Below are 27,314 nucleotides of genomic sequence, written 5' to 3' on the forward strand. Positions count from 1 at the left end.
GGGACGGGACCTGTGGAGTCCAGGCCTTGGGAACTGAGTACCACTTCCAGTTCCTTTGTCTTTATGACCCTCTCCCTATGAAAAAGGAAATGCTTCCAAGGCTCCTCCAGTCAGTTTCTGTTCTCACCCCTTCCCTCTCTCTTTTCCTTTGGGATCCACAGCCCTGGCCATGCCTGTTGGAGCTGGCCCCTCCTCTCCAGCCTGCAGTTTTATTTCCCTAAGCCTCAGGTGTTTGGATGTGGGTCTTGCCTGGAGGGAGCAGGGGCATTGAGATTACCGATCAGCAGACATGCTTCCCTTCTCCTCCCACCGTGATGCCTATCACTCCTTTCCACTGATGGGGAGCTTAGCCATGTGGCTTGCTCTGGAAAATGGAAAGTCAGTGAACATAACCCAAGCAGAGGCCTTAAATAGGCATGTGTCGGTTGGCTTGATTTCTTGTGCTCTTGTGACCTAACAGGAGAAGAAGATACCCAGGGTGACCACTGTTTCACCAGACTAGGCTCAAGAATTAACACACAGGGATCAGACTTGAACCCAATCTACAGCCTATAGTGGAGCAGCCCAGCCAGGTCCAGCCTAGATCAGCCAAGCCACAGCCAGCCTGCAGCCCCATGAGCATGAGAATAAATGCTCACGGTTGTAAGCCACCAAGATTTTGTGCTATTTGTTTGCATCATTATTGCTGTAAAGGTCTGGCTGGCACAGAGGGTTGGGTGGGAACTCAAATAATGATACAACAGAACTGATTATTCCAGATTACAAGGCAGGAGACCTGGGCTGTAGTCCAAAAACTGCTAACTTCCTCTATACCTCCAGAGGAGAGGAAAGAAGCTACCATCTGTGGATCATCTGCTGGGGGCCCAGCACTGGGCTAAACGCCGTCCACACATCATGCTATTGTATCACTACCATGTCTATCTTATTTTGGAATCTACTCTGTGCCAGGCATTGTGTTAAATGCTTATGATGCTAATTAGGGTTATGCTAACAATGATACTGAAATGAATAATAACTTAAAAAACAGCCATTGTTGAATACATAGGATGGGTCAGGCCTGCATCTAGTTATTTAAATGTATTGTTTCAATTTACCCTCAGCACGACCAACCTGGTAGACTGTAAACTCCATGAAGCAGACATCACATCTGTTTAGTTCACTGCCGTGGCCCCAGGGCCTAGTACGTGCCTGGCACATCAATGCTCAATAAATTGTTGTTGAGATGGAAGTCCTACGAGGTGGATGCTAGTGTTACATCCGCCACTGTCCGTCCCCTGCTCTCTTTCTGCGGCTGATGAAACGGAGGCAGATGGGCTGGCCTAAGCAATGGTTCTAACATCTCAACTGGGGGCAATTTGGTCTCCTCAGAGGACATTTGGCAATGTTTAGAGGCATTTTTGGTTGTCACGACTTGGGGAGGGGGTGCTACTGGCATCCAGTGGGTAGTGTTCAGGAAAGCAGCTGTACATCCCACAAGGAAATCCCTCCACAAAGAATGATCTGGCCCAAAATGAAAACAGTGCTGTGGTCGGGAAACTCTGGCCTGACTATCAGGGGAGCCTGGCTACCATGGCCTGGCAGGAAATTAAAGTCAGATTTGTTTTGTTCCAAAGCACCTGTGTTGGTTTTCTGTGGCTGCTGTAACAAACTACCACAGACTGGGTGGTGATAGCAGCAGAAGCGTGTTTGCTCACAATTCTGGAGGTTGGAAACCTGAAATCACGGTGTGGGCTGGGCTGTGCTCCGCTGAAGACTCCAGTGGACATCCTGTGCCTGGGGTCTTCCGCTTCCCGGTGGTTGCTGGTGTTTCCTGGCGTGAGGCTGTGAATTAGTCTGTTCTTAGGCTGCTGATAAAGACATATCTGAGACTGGGTCATTTATAAAGAAAAAGAGATTTAATGGACTCACAGTTCCACGTGGCTGGGGAGAGCTCACAATCATGGCAGAAGGCGAAAGGCACATCTTACACGGCAGCAGGCAAGAGAGAGAATGAGAGCCAAGAGAAAAGGATTTCCCTTTATAAAACCATCAGATCTCATGAGACTGACTCACTATGATGAGAAAAGTATGGTGGAAACCGCCCCCATGATTCAATTATCTTCCACTGGGTCCCTCCTACAACACCTGGGAATTATGAGAGCTAAAGTTCAAGATGAGATTTGGGTGAGGACACAGCCAAACCATATCAGGCTGCATTACTCAAATCTCTGCCTTCATCTTCATGTCACCTTCTCCTCTTGTGTCCATCTCCAATCTCTCTCTGTCTTCTCTTATAAGACCCCTTGTCATTGGATTTAGGGCCTACCTGGAGACTCCAGAATTATCTCCTCATCTCAAGATCTCTTAACTTGAATCTCATCTGCAAGACCCTTTTTTCAAATAAGGTCATATCCACAGGTTTCTGGGATTTGACATGGATATCTTTTGGGGGAGGGACATTTTTGGGCCTTCCCCCTGCACCCCTTCTTGAATGCAGACCTATCTTGCCCTCCCAGATGTACTATGTGAATCCTCAAAAGAACCCTCTGAAGAGTTCATCTTACCTTGTTTCACCCATGAGGCACTGAGGATCAGAGAGGCTGTGTGATTCTCCTAGGAGAATCAGCGCTGGGGTCAAGATTTGCTCTCCGGCTCTGAAACTCTTGCTCACATCCTTCAACTTTCTCCTCAAACCTCACTGGGCTCAGAGATGCCCACACTTTCTGTGGAGCACCTGGAGATGCCCCTTGAACCAGCCTGCAACTGGCAGTCAGTGGGGCACCCCTCTGGATGCAGGAGGAAGGACACAGGAGTCACGCGCAGCCTTTTCAGGCAAGTGACTCTTTCAAGTGACTCAGGGGACATCGAGCAGAGGGAGACCTCAGGACCAGCAGCTCCCCCCTGGGGAGGGAGAGCAGGCGGCATTATCCTGGGGACTTTGCTGCAAGAGACAAGCTTGTCCAAGCCCGGAATTTCAATCGCTGCTGCTCTAATGAGCTCCTTCTTCCTGCCTTTCTCTGAACTTTTGCCAGCAAATTTCAGGGTCTCCCAGATGTGACAGCTCTGGCCAGTGTTTGATGGTTTGGATGAAGCCAATCAAAGGCGGGAGACCCTCTACGCCTTTCCCACCCTTGGTAGTGAAATCCCACAAACACCATGGAGATGAAAGTGTCAGCCACTGCGTATCACATCATTTAATCACCTCATTAAACTTTGAGTTTTCTCTCTTTTTTTGTAATAGCACCCCTGAAGCATAATTTGCACATTGGAAACTGCACATCTTTAAAGTAATACATTTGATAGATTTTGATATAAATATATACATACACACACACAACCACACCTGTAAAACCATCACCACAATCAAGATAGAGAATATATATGCCACTCCCCCAAAAGTTTTCTTGTGCCCTTTTGCAACCTTCTCTTTTTCCCCTCCCCACCATCCGTCCCATTCCCAGGCAGCCACCAATCTGCTTGCTGTCGCTATAGATTAGTTTGCATTTTTTAGAGTTCTGTATAAATGGAATCATTCAGTATTGACTGTTTTTGCACAGCTTATTTCTTTCATCATAATTATTTTGAGATTCCACCACGTTGTGTTGTGTATCAGTGGTTCCTTCTTTTTATTGATGGCTAATATTCCAGCTTGTGGTTATGCTACAGTTTATACATCCATTCATCCATTGATAGACATTGGATCTTTTCCAGTTTTTGATGAGTATGAATAAAGCTGCTATGAACATTTGTGTAAAAGACTTTTTGTGGATACATGCTTTCTTTTCTTTTGAGTAAATACCTAGGAATGGCTGGATCATATGGTAAGCACATGTTTAATTTAAGGAAATGCCAGGAGTGGTGGCTCATGCCTGTAATCCCAGTACTTTGAGAAACCAAGGCAGGAGGTCAAGACTAGCCTGGGCCATATAGTAAGACCCTATCTCTACAAAAAATTTTAAAAAGTAGCTGGGCATGATGGTGTGGTGGTGCACACCTGTAGGTCCACCTACTCAGCAGGCTGAGGCAGGAGGATCACTTGAACCCAGGAGCTCAAGGTTACAGTGAGCTATGATTGCACCATGCCACTACAGCCTGGGTGACAGAACAAGACTCTGTCTCTAAAAAAAAAAAAAAAAAAAAAAAAAAGAAAAAGAAAAAAGAAAAAGGAAACCACCAAACTGTTTTCTGAAGTGCTGGTACCATTTTGCATTTCCACCAGCAATGTATGAGATTTCCAGTTGCTCTGCATCTTCTCCAAGGCTTGGCGTGGTCAGTCTTTTACTTTTAGCAACATAATAAGTATGTTAGCATCTCTTGATGGTTTTAATTGACATTTTCCTGATGCCTAATTATGTTGAGTGTCCTTTTCTCTGCTGATTTGCCATCTGTATATCTTCTTCGGTGAAATGTCTGTTCAAGTCTTTTACCCATTTTAAATTCAATTGTTTGTTTTCTTGAGTCTTGAGAGTTCTACATATATCCCAGGTATCAGTCCTTTAGCAGGTACTTGATTTGTGAATATTTTTTCTTAGTCTTTGTCTTATCATTTCATTATCTGAACATGATTTCAAAGATTAGGAGATTTTCATTTTGATGAAGTCCAATTTATCAACTCTTTCTTTAATGGATCATGTTATTGATTATATATGCAAGAAATTGTTGCCTAACCCAAAGTCTGGAAACTCTCTCAAGGTAGTAAGCTGGGGAAGCTGAGGGGCCTACTTTATGTATTTCTTGTCTCTTAGGGATCAAGCTCCTTCACTCTCTGATGCCAAGTGTCTTGAAAACCATTGTTTTAAATATTTGTCTATGTTTTGTTGTTTCATCCAGGAGGGTAAATCTAATTCCTGTTACTCCATCTCAGTCTGAAGTCCCAATAAACCTTTAAGGTAGACATTATTTTACTCATATTACTTCCTATTTCTCCACCAAGGTAGCAGAGCTCAGTCCTGTTACTCCATCTCAGTCTGAAGTCCCAATAAACCTTTAAGGTAGACATTATTTTACTCATATTACTTCCTATTTCTCCACCAAGGTAGCAGAGCTCAGTGTGGTGAAGTGTCTTGTCCAGTGTCACACAGCAAAAAATGGTACCATCAGGACATAAACTCGGGCCTGCCAACTGTAAAGCCTGGTGCTACAGACCAGGCACCCTCAAAATTTTGGGATGGTGTCAAGTTCCACTTGGTGCTTGAAGTTTCAGAGTCTGGAATGCATCTAGGGTCTGGAATTGGCTAGACAGGGGACTCTCATTCAGTCTTGCTGGCTTGGCCCTCTAAGATCCTGGAGCAAAGGTAACCTCCGAGTTTCAGTTGTCTAATCTGCTACCAAAAATGTTAATTTGGACCTGACTTGCTCTTTAAGGGGTGCAATAAAATGCAATCACAAAACCACAGGATTTCTGAGACCTTGTAGAATATAGGGTCCAACCTTCTACTCAATGCCATTTCCACAGCAGGATTAAGAAATCTAAGATGCACCTCACCTTTCACCCAATACCCCGTTTGTGCCCATTGCAGGCATTACTAATCAATGATGGAACTCTTGATCACAAAATCCAATCTTTCTTTAATACTCAACATGCCCACCACCAATTTATTAGACTGGCACATGAGATGAAGCCCATTTGTGTTCCTATTCTTTGGTGTTCTGGTCAGATAACCATCTGGCCTCACACTCACACCTCACTTAACCAAGCCTTCACCATGTCCTAAGGTAATCTGTTTCATTACTGTCCAGCTGCAGTGCCTGGAACGTTCTGGCATGTGACAACAAACCCACTGTCCAGTCAGCATTATCCATTACATTAAATTGTACCTGCTGGGGGCTCAGAGATCAAACATCTTTATCTTTTAGAAAGTCCTTCAACTATAATGTGATGGTAAAGGTCATGTCCCTCTTCATCAAGAGAAATATCTCCGGTCCTTGACATGTGACGTGGGGCCCTTTAGAGTCCTGCTTTCCCTTATTTTTCCCTTTGCCTTCATCATCTTCCTTAAAATGTAAAATCCGAGTTTGAAAAAATATCCAGTGTATGATCCGATTAGAATGCAATAGAGAAAAAGTATTATACTTTGGTCTTGACATTTTCCTTTTATTAACATAGCCTAGGATTTTATTAGCTTTTAAAACGATCATCTTATACCATTAGCTCATGTGAGAAAATGTGAGATAATTTTTACATGAACTGAGCCAGGCCAGATGCCCCCTCCCTTATAGCTGTGCAGTTCAACCTGTGAGCCCAGTGTATTACCTGACACTTTCTCCGTGGTTCATCCCATCAGTCTAACCAATGAGCACATGAAAAAGAGCTGTACCTCCAGGCCAAGCCCAGTGCTGCTACACGCAGAATAATAATAGTAACAATATTAGCTAACATGTACATAGCACTTACTGGATGCCCAACATCATTCTAAACATACTACATATTTTTACTGATTTGATCCTTACAACAGCCTGGGGTAAGTATTATCTTATTCCCATTTTACAGAGGAGGAAATGGAAGCAGAGAAGTTAAGCAAGCTTGTAAGTGGCTGAGCTGGGATTTGAAGCCAGTTCTGAAGTTTGTGTCCCGAGTCACTACATTATACTGTTCTGAAGGGCCTGAACACATGCATGTTCTATGAATATTTATGCTCTTATACGTAGTTCTTGGGGGAAGCTTCCTGAGGGTGGCAGGAGACAGCTGAGATGTGAAGGGTGCATTTCCTGGGCAGGCTTCCCCGCTTTGGTCCAGGCCTGTCTCTGCAGAAGTTCTGCTGATGCTGCAGACTGCAAGCAGGTGAGGGCAGATCAAAACCCAAACGTGATTTTCACACAACCTGGGTAGGTCCAGCCCACCTCTCCTGGACACCTGCAGGGCAGAGCCATGACCTTTGAGGCTCTGTAACTCGGAGCTCTACTCTGGAGGGTGCCCTGTGTGTTCCCTTTGAGAGACGATGTCACAGGATGGAGGGCGCAAAAGGACAGCCCCAGGCTTGAGATGAAGACTCACGTTCAGCATCAGCAAAGCCACCCTCTTCCCTGCCCGGTGTCCAGGGGAGCCATTTCTCCTCCCTCTCAGGCCCTCTGGTCTGGGTGGGGCTGACCCTGCCCCTGGTAGACATGTGATCTAGACTGAACCAATCCATGTGCACTCTCTCCCTGCTCTCTCACATTGGTTCAGTTTCAGGCACATGGACCCAGCCTGAGCCCATGAGAGGCAGGCCTGGGATATTGATGGAAACTGTTCTTTTCTATGGATTTGAAACCAGGAGGAGGCAAACCCTGAGCTTTCTTGGCAAGAGCCTGCCTGTCTGTCACCTAAACAAAGGAAGGAAGGAGACCCGAGAGATAACTGTTTGAGCTCTGAGTCCAGCCATGCTGGGCTGCTTGGTTATTTGAGCTTATGAAATTGGCCTGTGTTTCCTAAGCTGGTTGAGTTGGCTTTTCTGCAACAAGCAAGCCAGTGAGCTCTGACAAGGACTGGCTATGACTCTGGTTCCAGCTGGGATTTCCTTGTCTGCTGTGTGCCAGCCCAGGGCCAGGGACTGTGAGGGGATTCACATCTGCCATGAAGCCTGAGCCCCAATGTGTCAGACCTTGGGGTACAGCAATGAATTGGACACAGTCCTTGCCCTTGAGGGGTGCACAGCCTAGTTAGCCATTAACTGCCATAGATGCCATTAATTTCCATGGTGTGGGGCACATTAGAGAGGTATATGCAAGGTGCCTGGGAACTCAGGGGAAGGGACAGGCCACCCTTCCCAGAGCACAGGGAGGGAAAATGAAGCGGGTGCCCAGGGGCAGTGACTTTTAAGGAAACGTCATGCAGGACCACCGTGATGAGTCACTTGGGTCCTGCATCACTGCATGCTTTAAATCCTGGTTTGACCTTTTGCTAGCTCTGTAACATTGGGCAAATGACTTACCATTTTGGAGCCTCAGTTTCCTCGTCTGTAAAATGGGCATCTACCTCATGGGTTTGTTGAGAGAATTAAATGTGATGACATAAGTTTATCACATGTAATGTGGCTAGTGTATCACACTAGGCTAGTACAGTGACCAGCGTAGAGTTAATGTTCAGTAAATTAACTCAGTCTTTTATTATTATTAGTTTAATGATGGCAGGAACACTCCAGGTGGAGGAAAGAAAACGTGCTAACCATTACACATTCACAAAGTGGGTGGGTGTGTAGGGTCCAGGTCTGTGGAAGAAATGAAGGGATTCCAGATGGTGGGGCTAGTGTGGGCAATAGTGCTGGGGCAGGGAATAGCAGGGGTGGCACTCCGCACTGCCACCTGGTAGCAGGAAGCCTTCCAGGGAGGAGGCAGGAGGAGAGTGGAGTGTCTGGGTTGGCGTCAGGTTGTAAAGCCCCAGCTTGTTGCTATAAACAAAAATGCCCTGTCCTTTTTTGAGAAGAAGAATTTGCAGCTACCTAACCCAGAAGTAACTTACCCTCAATTCAGTTTGCTCAGTTCAGTTATGTTACTGGTCAATTTCAGTAGGGGAAAAAAAATCCAGTGGGGCTGTTTTGCCAAAGCAGGTACCCACTGGGCACTAGAAGCGCATGTTAGGATGTGCCATTATGTCAGCATCTAAGCAGGGCTCCCTGAGCACAGAGGGACCCCAGGAGCCTGGCCTCCAGGAGAAAAGAGAGAAAATGGCATCAGATAATGTTGCATTTACTTTTGCTTGTTGTTATGTGGGAAAGACTAGTGTTCACTTCTTTAAGCTCCTGCAACAGTGGGAATAAGTGGGCCTGGTGAGGCCAGCACCCCCTCCCACCCTGTGTCTTACACCCCCACCCAGCCTAGCTGTGAAGGAAATGGGCAATTATCTGGCAGATTGGCTATTAAGTCAGGCGTCCATTCAAATCCCCCAGCTCCCCAACTTCCTGGATGGCCTGAGATGACATTGATCAATCTGGACAAGGCTGCCACTGCCATTTCAGGGAAAGACCACCTCTTGACCCAACTACCACCCCACTCCCCAATTCATTCACTCACTCACTCACCGGCTGACATCCTCACTCACTCATTTGTTCATAAATCAAGCACTTCAGTCATTCATTTGTTCACTCATACACCCTCATTGTACATTCACAAACACTCTTGCATCACCTGGGCACTGGGCCTGGTGACCGAGATGCAGGTGGCAGGAGCAGCCGTGGGGGCAAGGTCACTGAGCTGCCTGGGCTGGATGCCCAGGGCTTTACAGCCATGGCAATGACATGAGCCAACCCAGGGGCTGCTCCAGCAGGAAGCTGGGCAAGAGACCCAGGACTAGGGGCAGGCGGGTGTGCACACTGGGGGAGGTGCATCAACTGAGTCAAGTGCAGGGAAACTTTAAGCAATGTTGGGGAAGATTCTGGGCTCCGGACCCCTAAGCATCAGTGGTCTGGAGTTGTAGCTGCTCCAGACTATATCATAGTCCTCTATTCCACTATTTCTTGATATTTGAATACTTTTCTCCTTTCCCTAGGGAGTATGCTGGACCTTATGGGCACAGAGAACCAATAAGTGGTGCAGGGAGGAGGGTGAAGTCTGATCATATGATTTGGCTCTGTGTCCCCACTCAGATCTCATCTTGAACTGTAATCCCCATGTGTTGAGGGAGGGACCTATAATCCCTATGTGTCCAGGGAGGGAGGTGATTGAATCACGGGGGCAGTTTCCCTCATGCTGTTTTCGTGATGAGGGGGTTCTCACCAGATCTAATGGTTTTATAAGTGTTTGACAGTTCCTCCTTCAAGCACTCTCTCTTACCTGCCATGTAAGACATGCCTGCTTCCCCTTCCACCATGACTGTAAGTTTCCTGAGGCCTCCCTAGCCATACAGAATTGTGAGTCAACTAAACCTCTTTCTTTTATAAATTACCCAGTCTTGAGCAGTCCTCTTTTTGTTGTTGTTGTTGAGACAGGGTCTCACTCTTTTGCCCAGGCTGGAGTGCAGTGACACGATCTCAACTCACTGCAACCTCTGCCTCCCAGGTTCTCCCACTTCAGCCTCCTGAGTAGCTGGGACTACAGGTGCACACCACAACACCCAACTAATTTTTGATAGAGACGGGTTTCACCATATTGGCCAGACTTGTCTCGAACTCCTGACCTCAAGTAACCTGCCTGTCTTGGCCTCCCAAAATGCTGGGATTATAGACATGAGCCACCACGCCTGGCCTTGAGGAGTTCTTTATAGCATCTGACAAAGAGAAGATCAGTAAAGATAAACTGAGAAGGGCTTCATAGAAATCATAAACACCTTGGTCAGAAACACGTGATTTGAGAGAAGTTTGGGCAGTCTCATTGCCTGTCTCTGTGGTTCATGAGTCTCATGAGAATACTGCAAACCAGGTATATCTTTGATTTATTTTAAGTTACCCCCAGGCCCTTAAAGGGCCACATTTACGGGAAACGGGGTCCTAGTCCCCATAAGATGAAGTTTGGGAAAGAAGAACAATACCTTCTCCATCTCAAGCACCTAGCATAGTTTGGCAATGAAGACATACATTCATTCATTTATTTATTCAAATAATACATATACTTACTATTTTCCTGGGGCTGCCATAACAAAGTGCCACACCCTGGGTGGCTTAAAACAACAGAAAGTAACTTCTCACAGTTCTGGAGGCCAGAGTCCAAGATCAAAGTGTCCAAGGCGGTGTTAGATCTGAAACTCTGGGTAGAGTCCTTCCTTGCCTCTTCCTAGCTTCTAGTGGTGACCATCAGTCCCTGGAGTTCCTTGGTGTCCCTTGGCTCCAATCTCTGCCTCTGTCATCACACAGAGGCACACATCACACCCTCTCCCTATGTGTCTCTGTACAGATATCCCTCTTCTTATAAGGATTCCAGTCATATTGGATTAGGGTCTACCCTAATGACCTCATTTTAAACTTGATTATGTTCGCAAAGAACCCATTTCCAATTAAGGTAACTTTCACAGGTACTAGGGGTTAAGACTTCAACACACATTTTTGGGGGGACACAGTTCAATCCATAACACCTTCTATTTGCCAGGTCAGCTGATAGGCATTGGAGGAAAATACCTGTTGAATAGACAACTTCACTCTTCCCTCCTACTACAGTCCTTCAAATGGACCACTTCACTCCTTCACCCCACCATGATCCTATTGGGAAAATGCTGGTGAGGGGCTGAGGACCCAGCTCAGCGGAAACATTCCTGGATCCCAGGCTCACTGGGAAGCCCCACCTCACTTCTGTCTCTATGAGCCCGAGCCTTACCTACCTGTTTCAGCCCCTAGCAGAGTTCTGCAGCTCATCAGTAACCATAAGAGGAGCAGTGGGCAGAATAAATCTCACTTCAAAATTAATGTAGCTCGGGAAAAAAAGTACATTTACTCATTTCAACTTCTTGTTGCAAGACTCATAAGTGAATAAATCCAAAATAAATGTAACCGGGATGAAGGGAGAAGCCACGATAAATGCAATCCCATCGCCCTAAATGAAGACAAAGGCTTCGAGACAATATTAAATTCCATCCCCAAAGGCTCATTTCATTTCAGACCCAGATTTCCACAAAATCGAGTTTTCCAGCCAAGCTAAGCCCGCTTCTGCTCCTGTCCTCCACTTGCCACACTCCCTCCCCTGATAAACAAGCTTTTGCTCCCCCTTCCCACCAGGCTGCTTGTGGTCTCAGCTGTGTAGGTTGCCTGCTCTCATGCCAGCAAGTCCCCTGTATTAGTCTGTTCTCACACTGCTAATGAAGACATACCTGAGACTGGGTAATTTATAAAGGCAAGAAGTTTAATTGACTCACAGTTAAGCATGGCTAGGGAGGCCTCAGGAAACTTACAATCATGGCGGAAGGGGAGGCAAACACATCCTTCTTCACATGGTGGCAGAAAGAGAAGAAGTGCCAAGCAAAAGGGGGAAAAGCCCCTTATAAAACCATCAGATCTTGCGAAAGCTCACTCGATATCACAAGAACAGCATGAGGGTAACTGTCCCGGTGATTAAATTACCTCCCACCAGGTCTCTCCCATGACATGGGATTATGGGAACTACAATTCAAGATGAGATTTGGGTGAGGACACAGCCAAATCATATCCAAACTCCAAAGATATGGTGACTGCCTCAGATCCCAGCTGGACAGCTTCAGCCACATTCTGGGGACCCACAACATCTGCTTGGACTTCCAGGATTTGCATATTCTTCTCTGTATCCCCTGGACTATGAGCAGGGATGTACGCACCTCTGTGTCTCAACACATGCAGGTTGGGTGTTCAGTCCTGGAGGTGCAAAGCTGGATGCTCAACTCTGACCAGTCTTCTGGCCAAACTGGTTAAACCTGGGGTGCTGGGGCTGGAGGCAGGGTCATGCTTCGCTTGATACTGTTTCATGGCAATTCAATGACTGCAGAGCTCATCCTTGCCCTCCTACAGAGCTAGCATGTGGGTATCCTTGGGGTAAGGGACCCTAGAGTGGGGAATACAGAGAGATGAGAAATTGGCGTCTCTCTTCTCAGGAGGGTTCCCAGCTGCTGTGGGAAGACTTGTCTCTTCTGCAAAGGAAGTTGATCCAGCCGTTTTCCACAGAGGGTGAGCTCCAACGGCAGGAGCTGCATCCGCCTGTTCGTAGTGGACCCCATCCCATATGTCTGGCATGAAACCAGGCACATTCAGGACATCAAAATATACTTGTTGAATTGATTTAAGTGGCTCTAAATCAACTGGGCACAGTGGCTCACGCCTGTAATCCCAGAACTTTGGGAGGCAGAGGCAGGTGGGTCACTTGAGTCCACGAGTTTGAGACCAGCCAGGCCAACATGGGGAAATCCCATCGCTATCAAAAAATACAAAAATTATCCAGGTGTGGTTTTGCATGCCTGCAGTCCCAGCTACTCAGGAGGCTGAGGCAGAAGAATCGCTTGAACCCTGGAGGTGAAGGTTGCAGTGAGACAAGATCGCGCCACTGCACTCCAGCCAAGGTGAGAGAGTGAGACTCCATCTCAAAAACAAAATAAAATAAAATAAAAATAAAAATAGATGGCTCTCACTGACCAGTTCTTCAACTTCAGTGATGTCACCAGCCAGGTGATCTTGGGTAGATTGTCTATCAAACTTCACACACTGGGCTGAGTATCTCACTGTCAGAATGACTAAACTGAATTGACTGAACTCTGAGTATGTGGTGAAAGGTTTTTAGGGAATCCAGTGAGATTCCTGATGGAGCTGACAGATGTCTGTCACCTATGCCCACAGTTAAGTCTCTGTGTCAGAATTATGCCAATGTCAAGAATTTTGTTACCTGTACCTGCTCCTATCCGCCCCCTCCCAAGTCTAGGCTGTGGACATTGTGAACTTGCTGTTGCTTTTAGGGGTAGGTTTACTTTTTTTTTTTTTTTGAGACAGGGTCTCACTGTTGCCCAGGCTGGAGTGCAGTGGCATGATTATTGCGCACTGCAGCCTCAATCCCCTAGGCTCAAGCGATCCTCCCACCTCAGCCTCCTGAATAGCTGGGACTTCAGGCACATGCCACCACACCCAGCTAATTTTCTGTAGAGACGAGGTTTTGCCATATTGCCCAGGCTGGCAGGTTTACTTTTAACAACAGTGAACAATAACAGTAACAATAGCAATGCTGGCCAAGTCTTAGCACCTGCCTTGTGCCCTCTCCTTTCTGCAGGCTTATGTAGCGATCCATTCAATAAATCTTGTTCGGATGCCTCCCATTTGCTAGGTCCTGCTTTAATGGTGCTGGGATGGCTCTGGTGTCATGAAGTTTGCATGCTGGCATGGGTAGTATATTCCGTTTTATTCTATTATGCTGTAGTGGAGGTAGTTATATTATTTATGTTATGTTATGTTATATAAAATTTATATCATATTATATGAAATTTATCTTGTTTTATCATGTTATATTATATCATGGTGTATCATTTCCATTTAACCTTCATAATGGCCCTCCTAGGAAGGCATTATCATCTTCATTTTAAAGCCAGGAAGACAAGTTCAGACAGATAAGTGACTTGCTAAGTGCCCCCTGCCGGTGAGTGAGAAGGTGGTGCTGTGGGTGAGCACAGTGTGGGGTGGATGGGTTTGGGAGTGGGATGAGCCAGGGTTTGAATCTGAGAGTGTGGCCTCCCCCGCTCCAAACCTCAGGATTTTCACCTATAATGTGGAGATGATAGAGTTTCCCTCTCGGATGGCTGTAAGAATCACGTGGGATGACGTGTGTGCCTAGCTCAGCTCCTGCCTCATCGTTGGTGCCTGGTAAGAGCCATGTCTGCTGTGGCAATGGTCATGGTCATTCCAAGGGAGACCATGAAGCTGCTCCATGGCAGGACCCAGGGCTCTGGTCTCCTGCCCTGGAGCTGCTGCTGTTACCCCATAGTTCAAAGACTGAGGAAGAGTCCATAGCCCCCTACTCCTCACTTGCACTCCAGCCGTGGGGTGGTGGTCTGGAGGAGGGTCTGCCCCTCCAGCTCATTGGCTGTCATTTGTTCCCAGGCTCACAGGGGCTTCAAGGTGTCAGGTTAAGAGCACAGCCCTGGGCCCAGACTGAGGGTTCCAATCCTGGCTCTGCCACTTCCTCACCATGTGAACTGGGGCAAATTACATTTGCTGTGGCTCATCTGTAAAATGAAGTTGTACGTCCCGTGGTTATTGGGAGGGTGAAGTACCTGCCAAGTGCCCAGGACAGAGCTTGTCCCGTGGAGAGTGCTGTGTAGGGGGCAGTCGTCATCAGCCTGTGGATGCTGCAGGCCAGGTGGTGCTGAAACAGGCCTTTCCCTGCTGCTGAGAAACTGGGTGAGAAGCCACTTGGCCAAGACAGGAGGCACATTCTCCATCAAAGGGAATTGCAAATTAGTCTTAAAAATGAAGCACCAGGGAGAGATGGTGGCTTTGTCAAGAAACTCAGGAGTCAGGCAGATACTTCTGCCTGGTCCTGCGCCAAACTCTCTGGGAGCAGCGTGTCCAGGAGCCTCACCCTTGACCCTGACTCCCCTCTTGCCTCCAAGGGACCCAAAGGGGCTCACATAGATGGCGTGGGTGGCTTCCTGTAGTGTAGTTTCCAGGATCACAGCCCCAACCACCCATTTTTCAGTTCCTTAAATCATACTTAGTTTTTAATTGATTTTTTTATTTTTAATTTTTTTACAACTCAATGGTTTTTAGTATATCCACAAAGTTGTGAAACCATTACCACAATCAATTTTAGAACATTTTATCACTGCAAAAAGAATGCCATTTAGCTATCACTCCCTCCCCGCGATCCCTCCACCCACCGCCCCAGGCCCTGGCAACCACTAATCTACTTTCTGTCTCCATAGAATTGCCTATTCTAGACATTTCACATAAACGGAATCATATACTATGTGGTCTTTTGTGACTGGCTTCTTTGGATTTATTGCATAGACCTCCACATGGACAGAGTTGGGGGGTGGGGCTCCCTTAGATCATTGAACCAAATCCTTCATATTTCAGATGTGAAAGTGAAGCCCAAAGAGGGGCAGTCACTTGAGCACCCTCAGGCTCACGATTAGAACTTGAGTCTCCAGATGCCTATTCTGATCTGCTCTTCCTCCCTTCCCCCAGGAAGCTGGGGTCAGGAGCTGTTTAAAGATATGATCCTGGGAAGGGAATGAGTTCCGTTGGTGGAGCAGTAGTTAAGCAGTTGCCTTCCATCCTTCATTCATTCGTTCTTTCCTTCCTTCGTCCATTCCTTCACTTGCAAGTAGTAACATGGCAGGCTCTGTTTGAGGCAATGGAAAGATGGAGGAGAACAAGACAGAGAGGCCTGGCCTGTGAAACTTACATAGAAACAGACACACACAAAAGGAACTGTCAGATTGCAACCAGTGCTATGCACAGAGCAAAAGAGGGAAGCTGGGGAGAGTGACTGGCCTGGGGAAGCTACTACTTCAGTTTGTGGGGGTCAGAGAAGGCTCCTGGAAAAGAGGGTATTTGGTGTGAAGAAGGCAGCCGTGCCAAGGTCTTGGGGAAAAGCATTAAGAAGCAGGAACTGCATTTAGGGGCTGAATTTGGAGTGGCACAGAGTGGTTGCAGAACAGGCCAGTGTGGCTGGGGCGTCCGTCTGGGCACAGTGGCAGGAGGTAAGGTTTTCTGTTCCCTCCACCCTCCCAAGTCCATTTACACATAGTCATGCAGTTTTTTGCTTATGATGTTATCTCCTCTGCCAGCCTGGAGGGCAGGGCCTAAATCATAGGGACCTCTTAGTGCCTGCTGCCTAGCATGGGGCATGGTTCCCACCAGGGGTCTAGTCTGTGTTCGAATTGATGCCTTCACAAGGATCCCCACCATTGGGCCAGGCACGGTGGCTCATGACTGTAATCCTAGCACTTTGGGAATATGAGGTGGGAGGATCACCTGAGGTCAAGAGTTCAAGACCAGCCTGGCCAACATGGCGAAACCCCGTCTCTACTGAAAACACAAAAATTAACCGGATGTGGTGGTGGGCGCCTGTAATCCCAGCTTCTGGGGAGGCTGAGGCCAGAGAATCTCTTGAACCAGGGAGGCGGAAGTTGCAGTGAGCCAAGATCGCGCCACTGCACTCCAGCCTGGGTGACAGAGTGAGACTCCATCTCAACAACAACAACAACAACAACAACAACAACAACAATCCCCATTGTTGGTTTTCATGACAGTGGGTTGACATCAATGAAGGTCAGTGGAAGGCAGCTGCAGATCCCAGAGAGGTGTCAGGTGAGGAGTCCTGGGGAAAAGGAGTTGAACTGGGCTGCCAAAGACACTCTGCCCGGCGCTCTTGCCTGCTTCCTGTTCCTCGGTTCTTTCCCGTGCCCTTGTCCCTTCTGTCGTTTCTCCTTGAGAATCAAGTTGTTTGGAAAAGAGAAAACCAGTTGCATAACTGTGTCCGTTGGCAGGCATGTTCTAATTTTAAAAAATGTGTCACTCTCCAAGCTGCGCGTCCCTTAATCAGGCAATTACTTTATGATGTAGTAGAGTTAAGGAGGGGGGGGGGGAGCCACCAACCCTTGAAATCTCAAACAATTTCTTAGTAGAATTAATTTGGTAAATGTTTGACTTGAGCTCAAGAATATCTTTTGTTTCCATTTCTAAATGACAAAAGGGACACAAAAGAAAAGTAATAATTTGGTATTAATCAATCCTTTTCATTAAAATTAGCTCCCCAAACCAGGGATGTCATGGAAACAGCAAGTGTCAGGAGAAGGGCTTGGAGCCTGGAAGGGGGTGGGGAACAGGGTTATTAAGTGGTCATGGCTCAGGGACACAGGACAAGACAGAATAGGTATCAACGGCACTGAAAATAGTAACCATCAAGGACTGAATGCTTCCCGTGTTCGAGCCCTTGTGCTGAGCCTTTTCAAATGCCCGATGGTTTTGTATCTAGAGCAACCCCACGATGTAAGTACTGCTGTGCCCATTTCACGGTTGAAGAAACCGAGCCCAGGGGAGGCTAGAGAATCTGCCCAACACTCACAGCTGGAAGTGGCAGAATCAGGACTTGAACCCAAGTCTCTTGACTCCAAGTGTTCTGCTCTATCATTGTCCCATCTTACCATCCCTAAGTGTCCTTTGCCTCTGCTAAGGAGCAGGGCTGGGGAGATTCCACACGTCAGGAGGGGCTGTTGAGAGGCCCTCAAAGGCATATGAGGAACTTTATTCAGCCAGGCACAGTGACTCATGCCTGTAATCCCAGCACTTTGGGAGGCCAAGGCGGGCAGATCTCTTGAGGTCAGGAGTTCGAGACCAGCCTGGGAAACACAGTGAAACCCTGTTTCTATTAAAATACAAAAATTAGTCAAGCGTGGCGGTACATGCCTGTAGTCCCAGCACGCCTGTAGTCCCTGTAGTCGGGAGGCTGAGGCAGGAGAATCGCTTGAACCCAGTAGGCAGAGTTTGCAGTGAGCCAAGATTCCACCACTGCACTCCAGTCTGGGTGGCAGAGTGAGACTCCATCTCAAAAAAAAAAAAAAAAAAGACTTTCTCCTTTCTGCCAAGGATGTAGGGAGGAGTGGGGCTCACTGCTAGCAGATCCAAGGCTCCTAAGAAGCTTATCTCCAGTGGTGCCAGGCTTCCCGGGCTGGGGGCCCCCATACTTCACCCAGAACTGTCTGTTCTCCTGTGAGGGCTGCATTCCAAATCTTCCCTGAGCTTCTCCCTTCATCAAAATACCTACTCAGGCCTTTCTGTCCTTCCCCTCAGCCTCCTGTGTCATGATGACTTAATACACCCTTGTTTACTGTGACCTTTGTGTTGTTAAACCCAAGAAATCACAGAAGCTCTCGGTCCAGCATCTGCCTCGGTTGGTGGAGGAAACATTCTGAGCTGGAAAGGTTGGGGCGGGGGGCAGGGCAGTTGCCAGTTTTCCATCATCTCTGACTCTATTCCCCATGGCTAACGCTCTCTCTCTAAACCTAAGCATCAGAACTCTTTCTCCTTCCTCCGATCCGCCCCAGCTCTTTCTTACGCAGAACATAAGCCATCCTGGCCCTGTCTTTCCCCATTTGCTCCTTGTCTCTTTATCCGGTCTTCTATGTGGGCTGAGCACACCGGGCTGGCTGTTATGGAGGTGGAGGGGTGGGAGAGTCTCCTAGCTGGCAAACACACTTCCATTAGGGGAAGTTGAGGGTGGTAGGGAATCCTCACTTGAGAACATAACTTGTCCCTGTTGCAAGATCACATATTACAATGACTCTGCCACCTGGATTTTTAACAGCTCTTGTTATCTGCTAAGTTATAGGTGTGTCTTGAAACACCATGAAGTCCAAGGGGCCCAACAGAGTATTCCCACCAAGGGATGGTTGGTGACTGGTTCCGTGAAAGGCTCATGTGTGGGGGCAATGAGTGCCTTAGCCTAGGAAGCCCCTGGAGAATCCCAAGGCCTCTGATGAGTCAAAATGGGAAGCCCTAGGCAAGCAATTGCTCCATGTCAGGCTTCAGGCTTTGGAAAGAAAAGCGACCGATTATTAAGCCCCCAGTGTATACAAAGTACTCAAGTACCCGCAAGATAGATATTATTTTCCCCATTGCGCAGATGAAAAACCTGAGTCTCAGAGAGGTTAATTCACTTGCTCAAAGCTGCACAGCTCATAAGTGGCAGAAAGAGGACTCAGTCTAAGTCTGCCTGATGTTACAACCTGTTCCTCAACTGTTACAGCCCTCTGGCTTCCCAAGAATAGGATCTGTTTGCCTATCTACTGAAAGAGATACAACCTCATGACACCTTCCTGGAAGACAGCATTGGGGGACAAAGTTTGTGATGTCTTTCTTTTGGGCATTTTGGGGATGCGGAACAGGCTGGGGCTTCTCCTTGGGTTACCATTTCAATCTCTGTCTATCATTTGGTGATCATGGTGAGAATCTGCAAGAGGCAGTACGTGGACTCATGCATTTGATCGTTCAAAGTCATGTTTACCATGTCCTGGCTGTGTGCTGGGAACTGTGACAGATGCCACAGCGGTGAACACAACTCGTTTGGTCCCTGTCAGCAGACATTTGCAGTCTTGTCAGGAATATGGCATTTGAACAAGTAATTAAAACATGGTGTCTGTCGGGGCGCAGTGCTGTATTTTCAGGAGGAAGGGGATTATGTGTTTGTAAAACCACAAGAAGGTCTGAAAAGGCAGGGTTCAAGGCTAAGCTTCCAGGAATGGATGTCAGAACAAGTCAGGCCCGGATCATGAAGCAGCTGGGACCGCTGAGATTATGCCAATGCCCTGCTATCAGATTTGAGCCCCTATCCTGATCCACAGCCCCCACATAGGAGGAGGTGATGGAGGGACCCTAATGCTGTGATTCAGTGATTAAGGCTCAAAAAGCTGTCCCCACCATCACTCCTTTATGACACCCAGGATGCTGGTGAATAAACCTAGAAATTGGCTGTAGGAAAATCACAGCTATCTAACCAGCAGAGAGGGTCAGTAGTCCACCTCATGTCTGCCTCCTCAGTGCTGTGCAAGTATATGGATTGGTGGAAACTTGGTTTTATCCTGAATCCAAGCTACAGAGAAATCTGGGAGATGGGGATTTCAGCCTTCCAGACCATGAGTTACAGGAAGAAACAGAGAAGGGGCTTGGAATGGAAGCTTGCACTGATGGATGCCATGCAGGGCAGCCCTGAGGGTTTCAGGAACAAAGGCCCACAGAATGCTGTGGGAGGATGAGGAGGAGGTGAATCCAGACTGTGGGGGCAGAGGCAGCTTCCCTGGGGAAGGTGCTGTCCAAGCTGCCATCAGAATGGTGCAGATGGAATACTCCAGGCTGGGGAAACAGCATGTGCAAAGGCCCTGAGACTGGGGTGGAGGGAAGCATAGATACCTGTGCCCTGTGACAGTGTGGACTGTTGTTCAGCCAGTGTTCATTTCCCTCTCCGTTCCACGTGGGTGGTGTGTACTTCCCTGCCCCACTGATGTTGGGCTTAGCCACATGACTTGCTTTGGTCAGACAGGAAATTGGCAGGGCTTGGTTTGGCTTGGTTTATTGCATTCTGGTCATCTGCCATGAGCAGAACCTCCTTAGACTCTGGGGGGAAAAATGTGAAGCAGAAGTGAGATCATTCTATAGCCTACATCAACCAAACCTCAGCCAACCTGCAGACCCATAAGCTTGAGGATAAATGCTTGTTCTTGTCAGCCACTGAGCTTTGAGAAGGCTTGTTATGAAGCACTGGCAGGGCTGTAGCTGACTGACATAAGATCTGAGCTATTGGAAGAAAAATTCTGTCCTGATTGGAATGGAGAGAAGGCCAGGGAGAGGGTGCAACATGAGGCTGAAAAACTCGCAGGTGCTGGAGTTTTGCAGGGCCTTATAGACCCTCTTAAAGATATTGGAAATGTTCTTGCTTTACACTGGGTAAAGCCAAGGCCAAGAGAGGCGGAGTGCCAGTGGCACATGGTAGGTTAGAGGCAGAGCCGGGGCTGGGCCCAGGCCCTTGAGGTCCCATTATACACCTGTCCTTCTTTCCTTCTGGTGATGACAACAGCAACCATTCCACAACAACATTCAGTATGATCCAGTCATGATCAATGCGTCCGGTACTACCTGATTCAATCTTGCTAACATCTGTATGTTTAGATGAAGAGACTGGGGATCAGAGAGGCTCCCTGTTCTGCTCAAGGCCACATGCTAGTTTGTTGGATCCAGTGCTCGTGACCTTCACTACTGGGCACCACTGCCCCTCACCAGCCTGGTCTCTGTGGGCTCCACTGAGCATGGGCTTCAGTGGGGCTGGGTTGAGCTGAGCTGTAGGCAGAGGGTGACATTGACCATGGGCTCTATCTTCTAACTCTGATCCTTTCTGCAACTCCCCTCTGACTTGGGTGGGCTAAATTGACACCTCAGGCAGGAGTGTGTGGGGACTGTTCATTGTAGGAAAGTGAGAGGTTCGCATCCCAACATGTGTTCCTGGTAATTACAGTCCCCTTGGTTGTCAGGCAATAACTGAGATGTCTATGGTGAGATTCCTTCTCAGAAGGGGGCCCTTGAGTGGACTTAGCCAGGTCTAATGGAAAATGACAAGGGCAAGGGAGGCTGAGGGGGGAACAGAAGAAGGAAGGACATGGGCAACTGCTACTCTTGGGATGTCGGCAGAAAGAGTGGGGGAAAGAACTCCAGAAATCCAAGAGTTCTCCCGCTGCCGTGGCCTGGAGCCTCCTTCCCCAGTTGGGCTCTGCAGAGCCACAGGGCCTGGGGAATGTCAGTGCCTGTTCTGCAGACCAGCAAGCCCCTGGGCATGGTGCTCCCCCACATTTCCTAGCTGTGTGCTTCCGGGGCGCATGGTAGCAGTGCACTGGCTGGCCCCTTTGTCCCCGAGCAAAGCCATGTGACCAGTTCTGGCCAACGTCTGCAAGGTGACAGTCCCGTGCATCACTTTCTGACCAGGGTGTCTCATGGGAGACTTTCAGGAATCCTGACTGAGTTTCCCCCTGCTGGGAAGCACCTGCTGGAAAGGGGTTGTGAGTGGCTACAAGGAGCAAACTCCTCTGTCACTCTGTAGGGGACATAGATCGTGAGCAAGAAACACACCTTGGTTGTTATAAGTCAGGAACATTTTGGAGATTATTGTTACTGCAGAATAACTGAGTCCAGCCTCACAGATAAAGTGACTCACTGAGAATGGGAAATGCTGCAACCCCTATCTGTTTCTTGGGGATTCACAAGACATGATTATAGTGAAGGATCTGAGAGGAAAGAAAGAAGGAAGGAAGGAAAGAGAGAAAAGAAAGAGAAAGAAGGAAAGAAAGAGGGAGAAAAAAACAAAGGAAAGAGAAAGAAAGAATGAAAGAAAAAGAAAGAAAGAGAGAAAGAAAAGAAAGAGAATGAGAAGGAAGGAAAGAGAGAGAAGGAAAGAAGAAGGAAAGAGAAAGAAAGGAAAAGAAAAAAAAAGAACAGCATGTTTACTTTGTTTTAATTCAAGGTTTTCTGGACTTATAGACTAGCAAGCCATCCTTCCCATGAATATCCAATGGAACATCTCTGGGAAAGGCTGGTAGGGAGTGAGTGTCCGGGACAGCAGGGTGGCAGCACAAACCTTCCACGGTGCTCTCCCAGACTCAAGGGGCGCCGCTGGAAGATGTCTCATGTGAGACATGCTCATGGGCTGTGACGAGGAGGGCAGCATTGGGAGAGGATTTGAGCACTCAGAGGGGAGCTGGGAAATCTGCTTATAAACCTGGCTCTGTCACGGGCTTCCTGTCCTCCATGGAGAGTCCTCTACCCTCTCTAAACCACAATGTCCTTCCTCAACACCCAGGCTCGTAGGGAGGATGGAATAATTCTGCACAGTGGAGGTGCCAGCGTTGGCCCGTTGCAGCTGTCCCAGATGTGCCGGCAGCTGTCTGATGGGTGGACCACAGCCATGCAGTGAGCACAGAGCCAGGACAAGTTGAACCTGCCAGAGAGCGACGGCAGGCTCTGGAGAGCAGGACCTGGCCATCTGTAGACGCATCGGTAACACAACAGTCCCACTAATTACCCCTGGGAGGCCCCCCAGCTCCCCTGTCAGGGTGTTGAGTTCCACCAGAGTTTCCAGACTGAGATTCCTGAGCCAACATGCTTTCCTGCAACCCACAACCCCAGGGATGTGGGGTTTTGCCCTAGGACTCTCTGGCTGGGACTTGCCATTGGCCAGAACCCATGGAAATGGATCTGATCTTCCTACTTTCATTTGGGTCTCTGGGGGGCCCTCAGGGCTCAGCTGTCTCCCTGCAGGTCCCCAGGGCCTCCCATTTCTACATTCCCATGGACTACAGCTTCTCCCAGCAAAGGCTTTTCCCAGCCTCAGGCCCTGCAAGATGCCAAGCTGTGACAGATGCTCCTATGTCCTGTTGGGAGCTGAAAATATACTGGCTCTGAAATGTTGCTCTTTTCTCTGAGCCTCAGTTAAATAACTGCAGCAGGGGAACATGGACCATGTCAGGCATTTTCAAACCATTTTTTAAAAACCACGGAGGACAGGAAGCCCGTGGACCTTTTCCTTTGGATAAAACCTTAGATGGGTCTCTGATATTACACCAGGTAAGAGTGCTCCCCACTCACCTCCTCTCTCACTTCCACGATCACCCACAGAGGTCCCGGGCTTCTCAGTGCACAGTTTGAGTCACTAGTTGGCCGGGCACAGTGGCTCAGGCCTGTAATTCCAGCACTTTGGGAGGCCAAAGTGGGCAGATCACTTGAGCCCAGGAGTTCGAGACCAGCCTGGGCGACATGGTGAAACCCCGTCTCTACAAAAAAATACAAAAATTAGCTGAGCATGGTGGCGCACCTGTAGTATTCCCAAAGCTACCAGCATACACTACCATGCCCAGCCCAGGAGGCTGAGGTGGGAGCATTGCCTGAGCCTGAGAAGGTCGAGGCTGGAGTGAGCCATGATTGCACCACTGCACTCCAGCCTGGGCAACAAAGTGAGACCCTGTCTCTAAAAAAAAAAAAAAAGAGAGAGAGAAATAAAGAGAGAAAGAGAAAGAAGAAAGAAAGAAAGAGAAAGAAGGAAAGAAAGAAAACAAAAGAAAAAAGAAAAGAAGAAAAAGTTACTGGTTAAACCCACTCGGAGATCCCCCAGCTCACAGGCAGGCCACAGCTCAATGAGATGGAACCCCTACTGCCTCACCCTCCTTCCCTCCTGAGGATCCCCACCCCACACTCCCTGGTGCCACAGGAGCAAGTCCTCTGCCCCTCCCTCCTATGAATCAGCCCCATGGCTCCACCTCAGTCAGACCCGGCCTCCCCTGCCTCTGATGGCCAGGTAGCTTCCCAGAGGCTGCCGCTGTTGTCCAGTGGTGCTAAGGTGCTCACAGCATAGCTGCGTAGGCTGGGCTTGGCCCCATCCCCTTTCAGGCCAGCCCCCACCCCACCACTGCCTTCGCCAACAGGGTCTGCAGCGTTTAGATGCCAGAGGTGGGGTCAGGACAATTTCCATCCTGGTTGGGGATCCCTGTTTTTTTCACAACCTCACCTAGCCAAGTCAGAGCCTGAGCTGTGCCTCATCTCTGCAGCATCTGGGGCAGGGGCTCGGTCACCCTCTTGGCTCTGGGAACCAGCGTGACAGCCTTCGAGCCTGCAGGAGTCCCCCTGGCACCAGCCGCTTTCTCACCTGCCCGCTGAAGAGGGAAGCTCATTAGTGACAAATTAGCATTATTATTCAACTCCACTGCCCTGTCAGGGGCTTACACAAGGGACCCATCAGGCGCCTGGTCTGTGGGCCCACATGTCCTTGCTTGAGATTTTAATAATCTCCAAAGGTGTTTTTTTAACGTAGTAATAATAATGATGATGATAATCAGAGGACACAGTGGCATTCCCTCCCACAGGGCCTCTGCAAGCTGACTCATGGTGCCTGGTGGGAAAGCCTGAGGTTGGGGGTGGGGTGCAAAAATCACTCCCTGAAATCACCACAAACCGGGGTGATAACAGACATGCTAATCTGCCTCCTTCTTCTAGAATCACGTCAGCATGATTGGCGAATTCCCTGCCCAGTTTCAAATGTCTTAAGAAGCACGAGTTATCTTCATGAGTTCCACACAATCCTTTTTGGGGAACTCCTTGAGATGTTAATGGATCCCCTCTTGTTTCTTTTAAAATGATTTCCTTCCACCAGATCACCTGAGATTTGAGATTTCACAGGAGAGGGAACAATCTTACACTTAACAGAGCCCCCTCCATCAGAGAGAACCCTTTTGGGAGCAAGTGACAGAAAAAAATTAATTCAAGCTGCCTCAAATCACCACTACAACAGGTGATTTGTCAGAGCCAGAATGCATAAGTTTGGGTGATACTTCAGGTCTGGTTGGATCCAGGTCACTCTAAAAATATTGTCAGGATAAAAATATTTCATTTATACAAAATATAATCAGTCCTCAATATAAAAATGTTGATCTTTCTCTCTCCATTGCTTGGCTCTGCGTTCCTTTGTGTTCTCTATTCCCAGGCTCTTCCTTCAGGGTGGCACGATGGCTGCCAGCACCTCCAAGCTGCCATTCCATCCTCTAAGTGGGAGTCTTTCTGTTGCCCAGCAATCCCCATTGAAGACCAGCACTGACTCCTGTGGGGTCCCATTGGCCCAGTTAGAGTCACATGCTCAACTCTGAACCAATCGATGTGGCCAGAAGAAGGAGTGGTTCTGATTGGACAGGGCTGGAACACATGCCCATTCCTGGAGCAATAAACGAGAGGATCCCACTAAAGACACCTGGACTGACAGGGAGGAGGCTTTGCCATCCCAGGAAGCCAGAGTAATCTTATGGGAAGTAAAGGAGATGCATTCTGGGCAGACAATACCTAGATGGATATTTATGTATATTTATGCTTTAGATGGCACCACTACATCCCCACCCTTGACCACTACCACATTCACAGCTCCCAAATTCGGAGCTGGCCCATGTTTCAGTCAACCCCAGACCAAGGCAAAGCATTTATCAGCCAGACGGTTGACTACAGCACAAGATCTTGGCAATAGTCAACTGAAATACAGGGAATCACAGATGTTAAGTCACTAAGTCCAACCTTACCACCACAGCCTCCCTGAGAGGCTGGCAGTACTTCTGGGGACTCGCTCCTCCTGGGCAGCTTTGTCCACTAGAAGGTGGGTTCCTTGAGGGCAAGGACTTTGTTCCTTCACTTTTTTTTTAATTTCCAGGACCAAGGACAGTGCCCAGTATGCATTGTTGCATGAATTTTCACAATTGGCTTTGACTTTTAAAAATATTCTCCTCGTGATGAGTTCATGTCCTTTGCAGGGACATGGATGAAGCAGGAAACCATCATTCTAAGCAAACTATCACAAGGACAGAAAACCAAACACCACATGTTCTCATTCATAGGTGGGAGTTGAACAATGAGAACACATGGACACAGGGTAGGAAACATCACACACTGGGGCCTGTTGCAGGGTGGGGGGATGGGGGAGGGATAGCATTAGGAGAAATACCTAATGTAAATGATGAGTTGATGGGTGCAGCAAACCAACATGGCATAGGTATACCTATGTGACAAACCTGCACGTTGTGCACACGTACTCTAGAACTTAAAGTATAATAAAAAATATATTGTCCTTTTATGTATATTTAATCAAAATTAAACTTCTGGGGGTTTCCATCTTCTCAGAAACACTTTATGTTTTCCAGGGGACCACATGTCAGGCATTTGAAGACTACCAGAAGTCTCTCACCTCTACCCATCTAGTCTCTCCCTAGGCTACACAGGACTAGTTTATTCAGCTCTTCTCCATATGGTATGGTTTGGAGTCCCTCTCCCCTTTCTGGATGCCCACTCTAGACCCAATCCTGTTGGTCAATATATTGCCCAAAATGTGATGCCAGTTTTCTAGGGGTGGGAATACTGTAGTACAATAAAATGATCACCTCCCACATGCTACCTACTCTGCCTCTATTAATATGACCAGCAGTATCCCGTTGTTGTTTGGATCACCATATTTCATTAAAGACCCACAATATACTTGCTGTTTTCTAAACCCTTGTGTTTTTCACATATCCTAACTATGGCTTTCCCATTCCTTACTTATGTGGTTGACTTTTTATATAGCTCCTGATACCCAAGAAGAATAAGGTCATGGTGTAGAAGTTGAGGATGGAGGAAATTAATTTTTTTGGGTGTGGGGTGCTTCCTATATGCCAAGCACACCATATTTACTTCTTACAACTATTTTCTTCTTCTTCTTCTTCTTCTTCTTCTTTTTTTTTTTGAGATGGCTGAAAGTGCAATGGTGTGATCTCGGCTCACCGCAACCTCCACCTCCCGGGTTCAAGTGAGTCTCCTGCCTCAGCCTCCTGAGTAGCTGGGATTACAGACATGTGCCACCATGCCTAGCTAATTTTTGTATTTTTAGTAGAGACAGGGTTTCTACATGTTGGTCTGGCTGGTTTCGAACTCCCAACC

At 47.9% G+C, this 27,314-nt stretch overlaps 1 long non-coding RNA gene across 3 annotated transcripts, besides 1 other annotated feature; it reads right to left on the bottom strand.

The window, feature by feature from the left end:
- Positions 1-15,369: 15,369 nt before the first annotated feature.
- On the bottom strand, positions 15,370-25,389 carry LOC105376809 (uncharacterized). 3 transcript variants are annotated; one of them, XR_947006.2, is made up of 4 exons: positions 24,836-25,389; positions 24,376-24,520; positions 20,241-20,444; positions 15,370-15,672 (listed from the first exon to the last, which is right to left on the bottom strand). It is a non-coding gene; the product is annotated as an uncharacterized LOC105376809 (long non-coding RNA). The 3 variants fall into 3 exon arrangements; XR_947007.2 differs by lacking the exon at positions 15,370-15,672 and adding an exon at positions 16,551-16,762; XR_001737785.1 differs by lacking the exons at positions 24,376-24,520; positions 24,836-25,389 and adding an exon at positions 23,460-23,557.
- Positions 23,819-24,344: an enhancer, noted in NCBI's record as "H3K4me1 hESC enhancer chr1:18335413-18335938 (GRCh37/hg19 assembly coordinates)". NCBI's record gives its function as "activates a minimal SCP1, AML or CMV promoter by ChIP-STARR-seq in primed H9 embryonic stem cells {active_cell/tissue: H9 hESC(primed)}" and the evidence as "EXISTENCE:reporter gene assay evidence [ECO:0000049][PMID:30033119]".
- Positions 25,390-27,314: the final 1,925 nt, after the last annotated feature.

Source organism: Homo sapiens, chromosome 1, assembly GCF_000001405.40.
Source record: "Homo sapiens chromosome 1, GRCh38.p14 Primary Assembly".
NCBI classification, from domain to species: domain Eukaryota; kingdom Metazoa; phylum Chordata; class Mammalia; order Primates; family Hominidae; genus Homo; species Homo sapiens.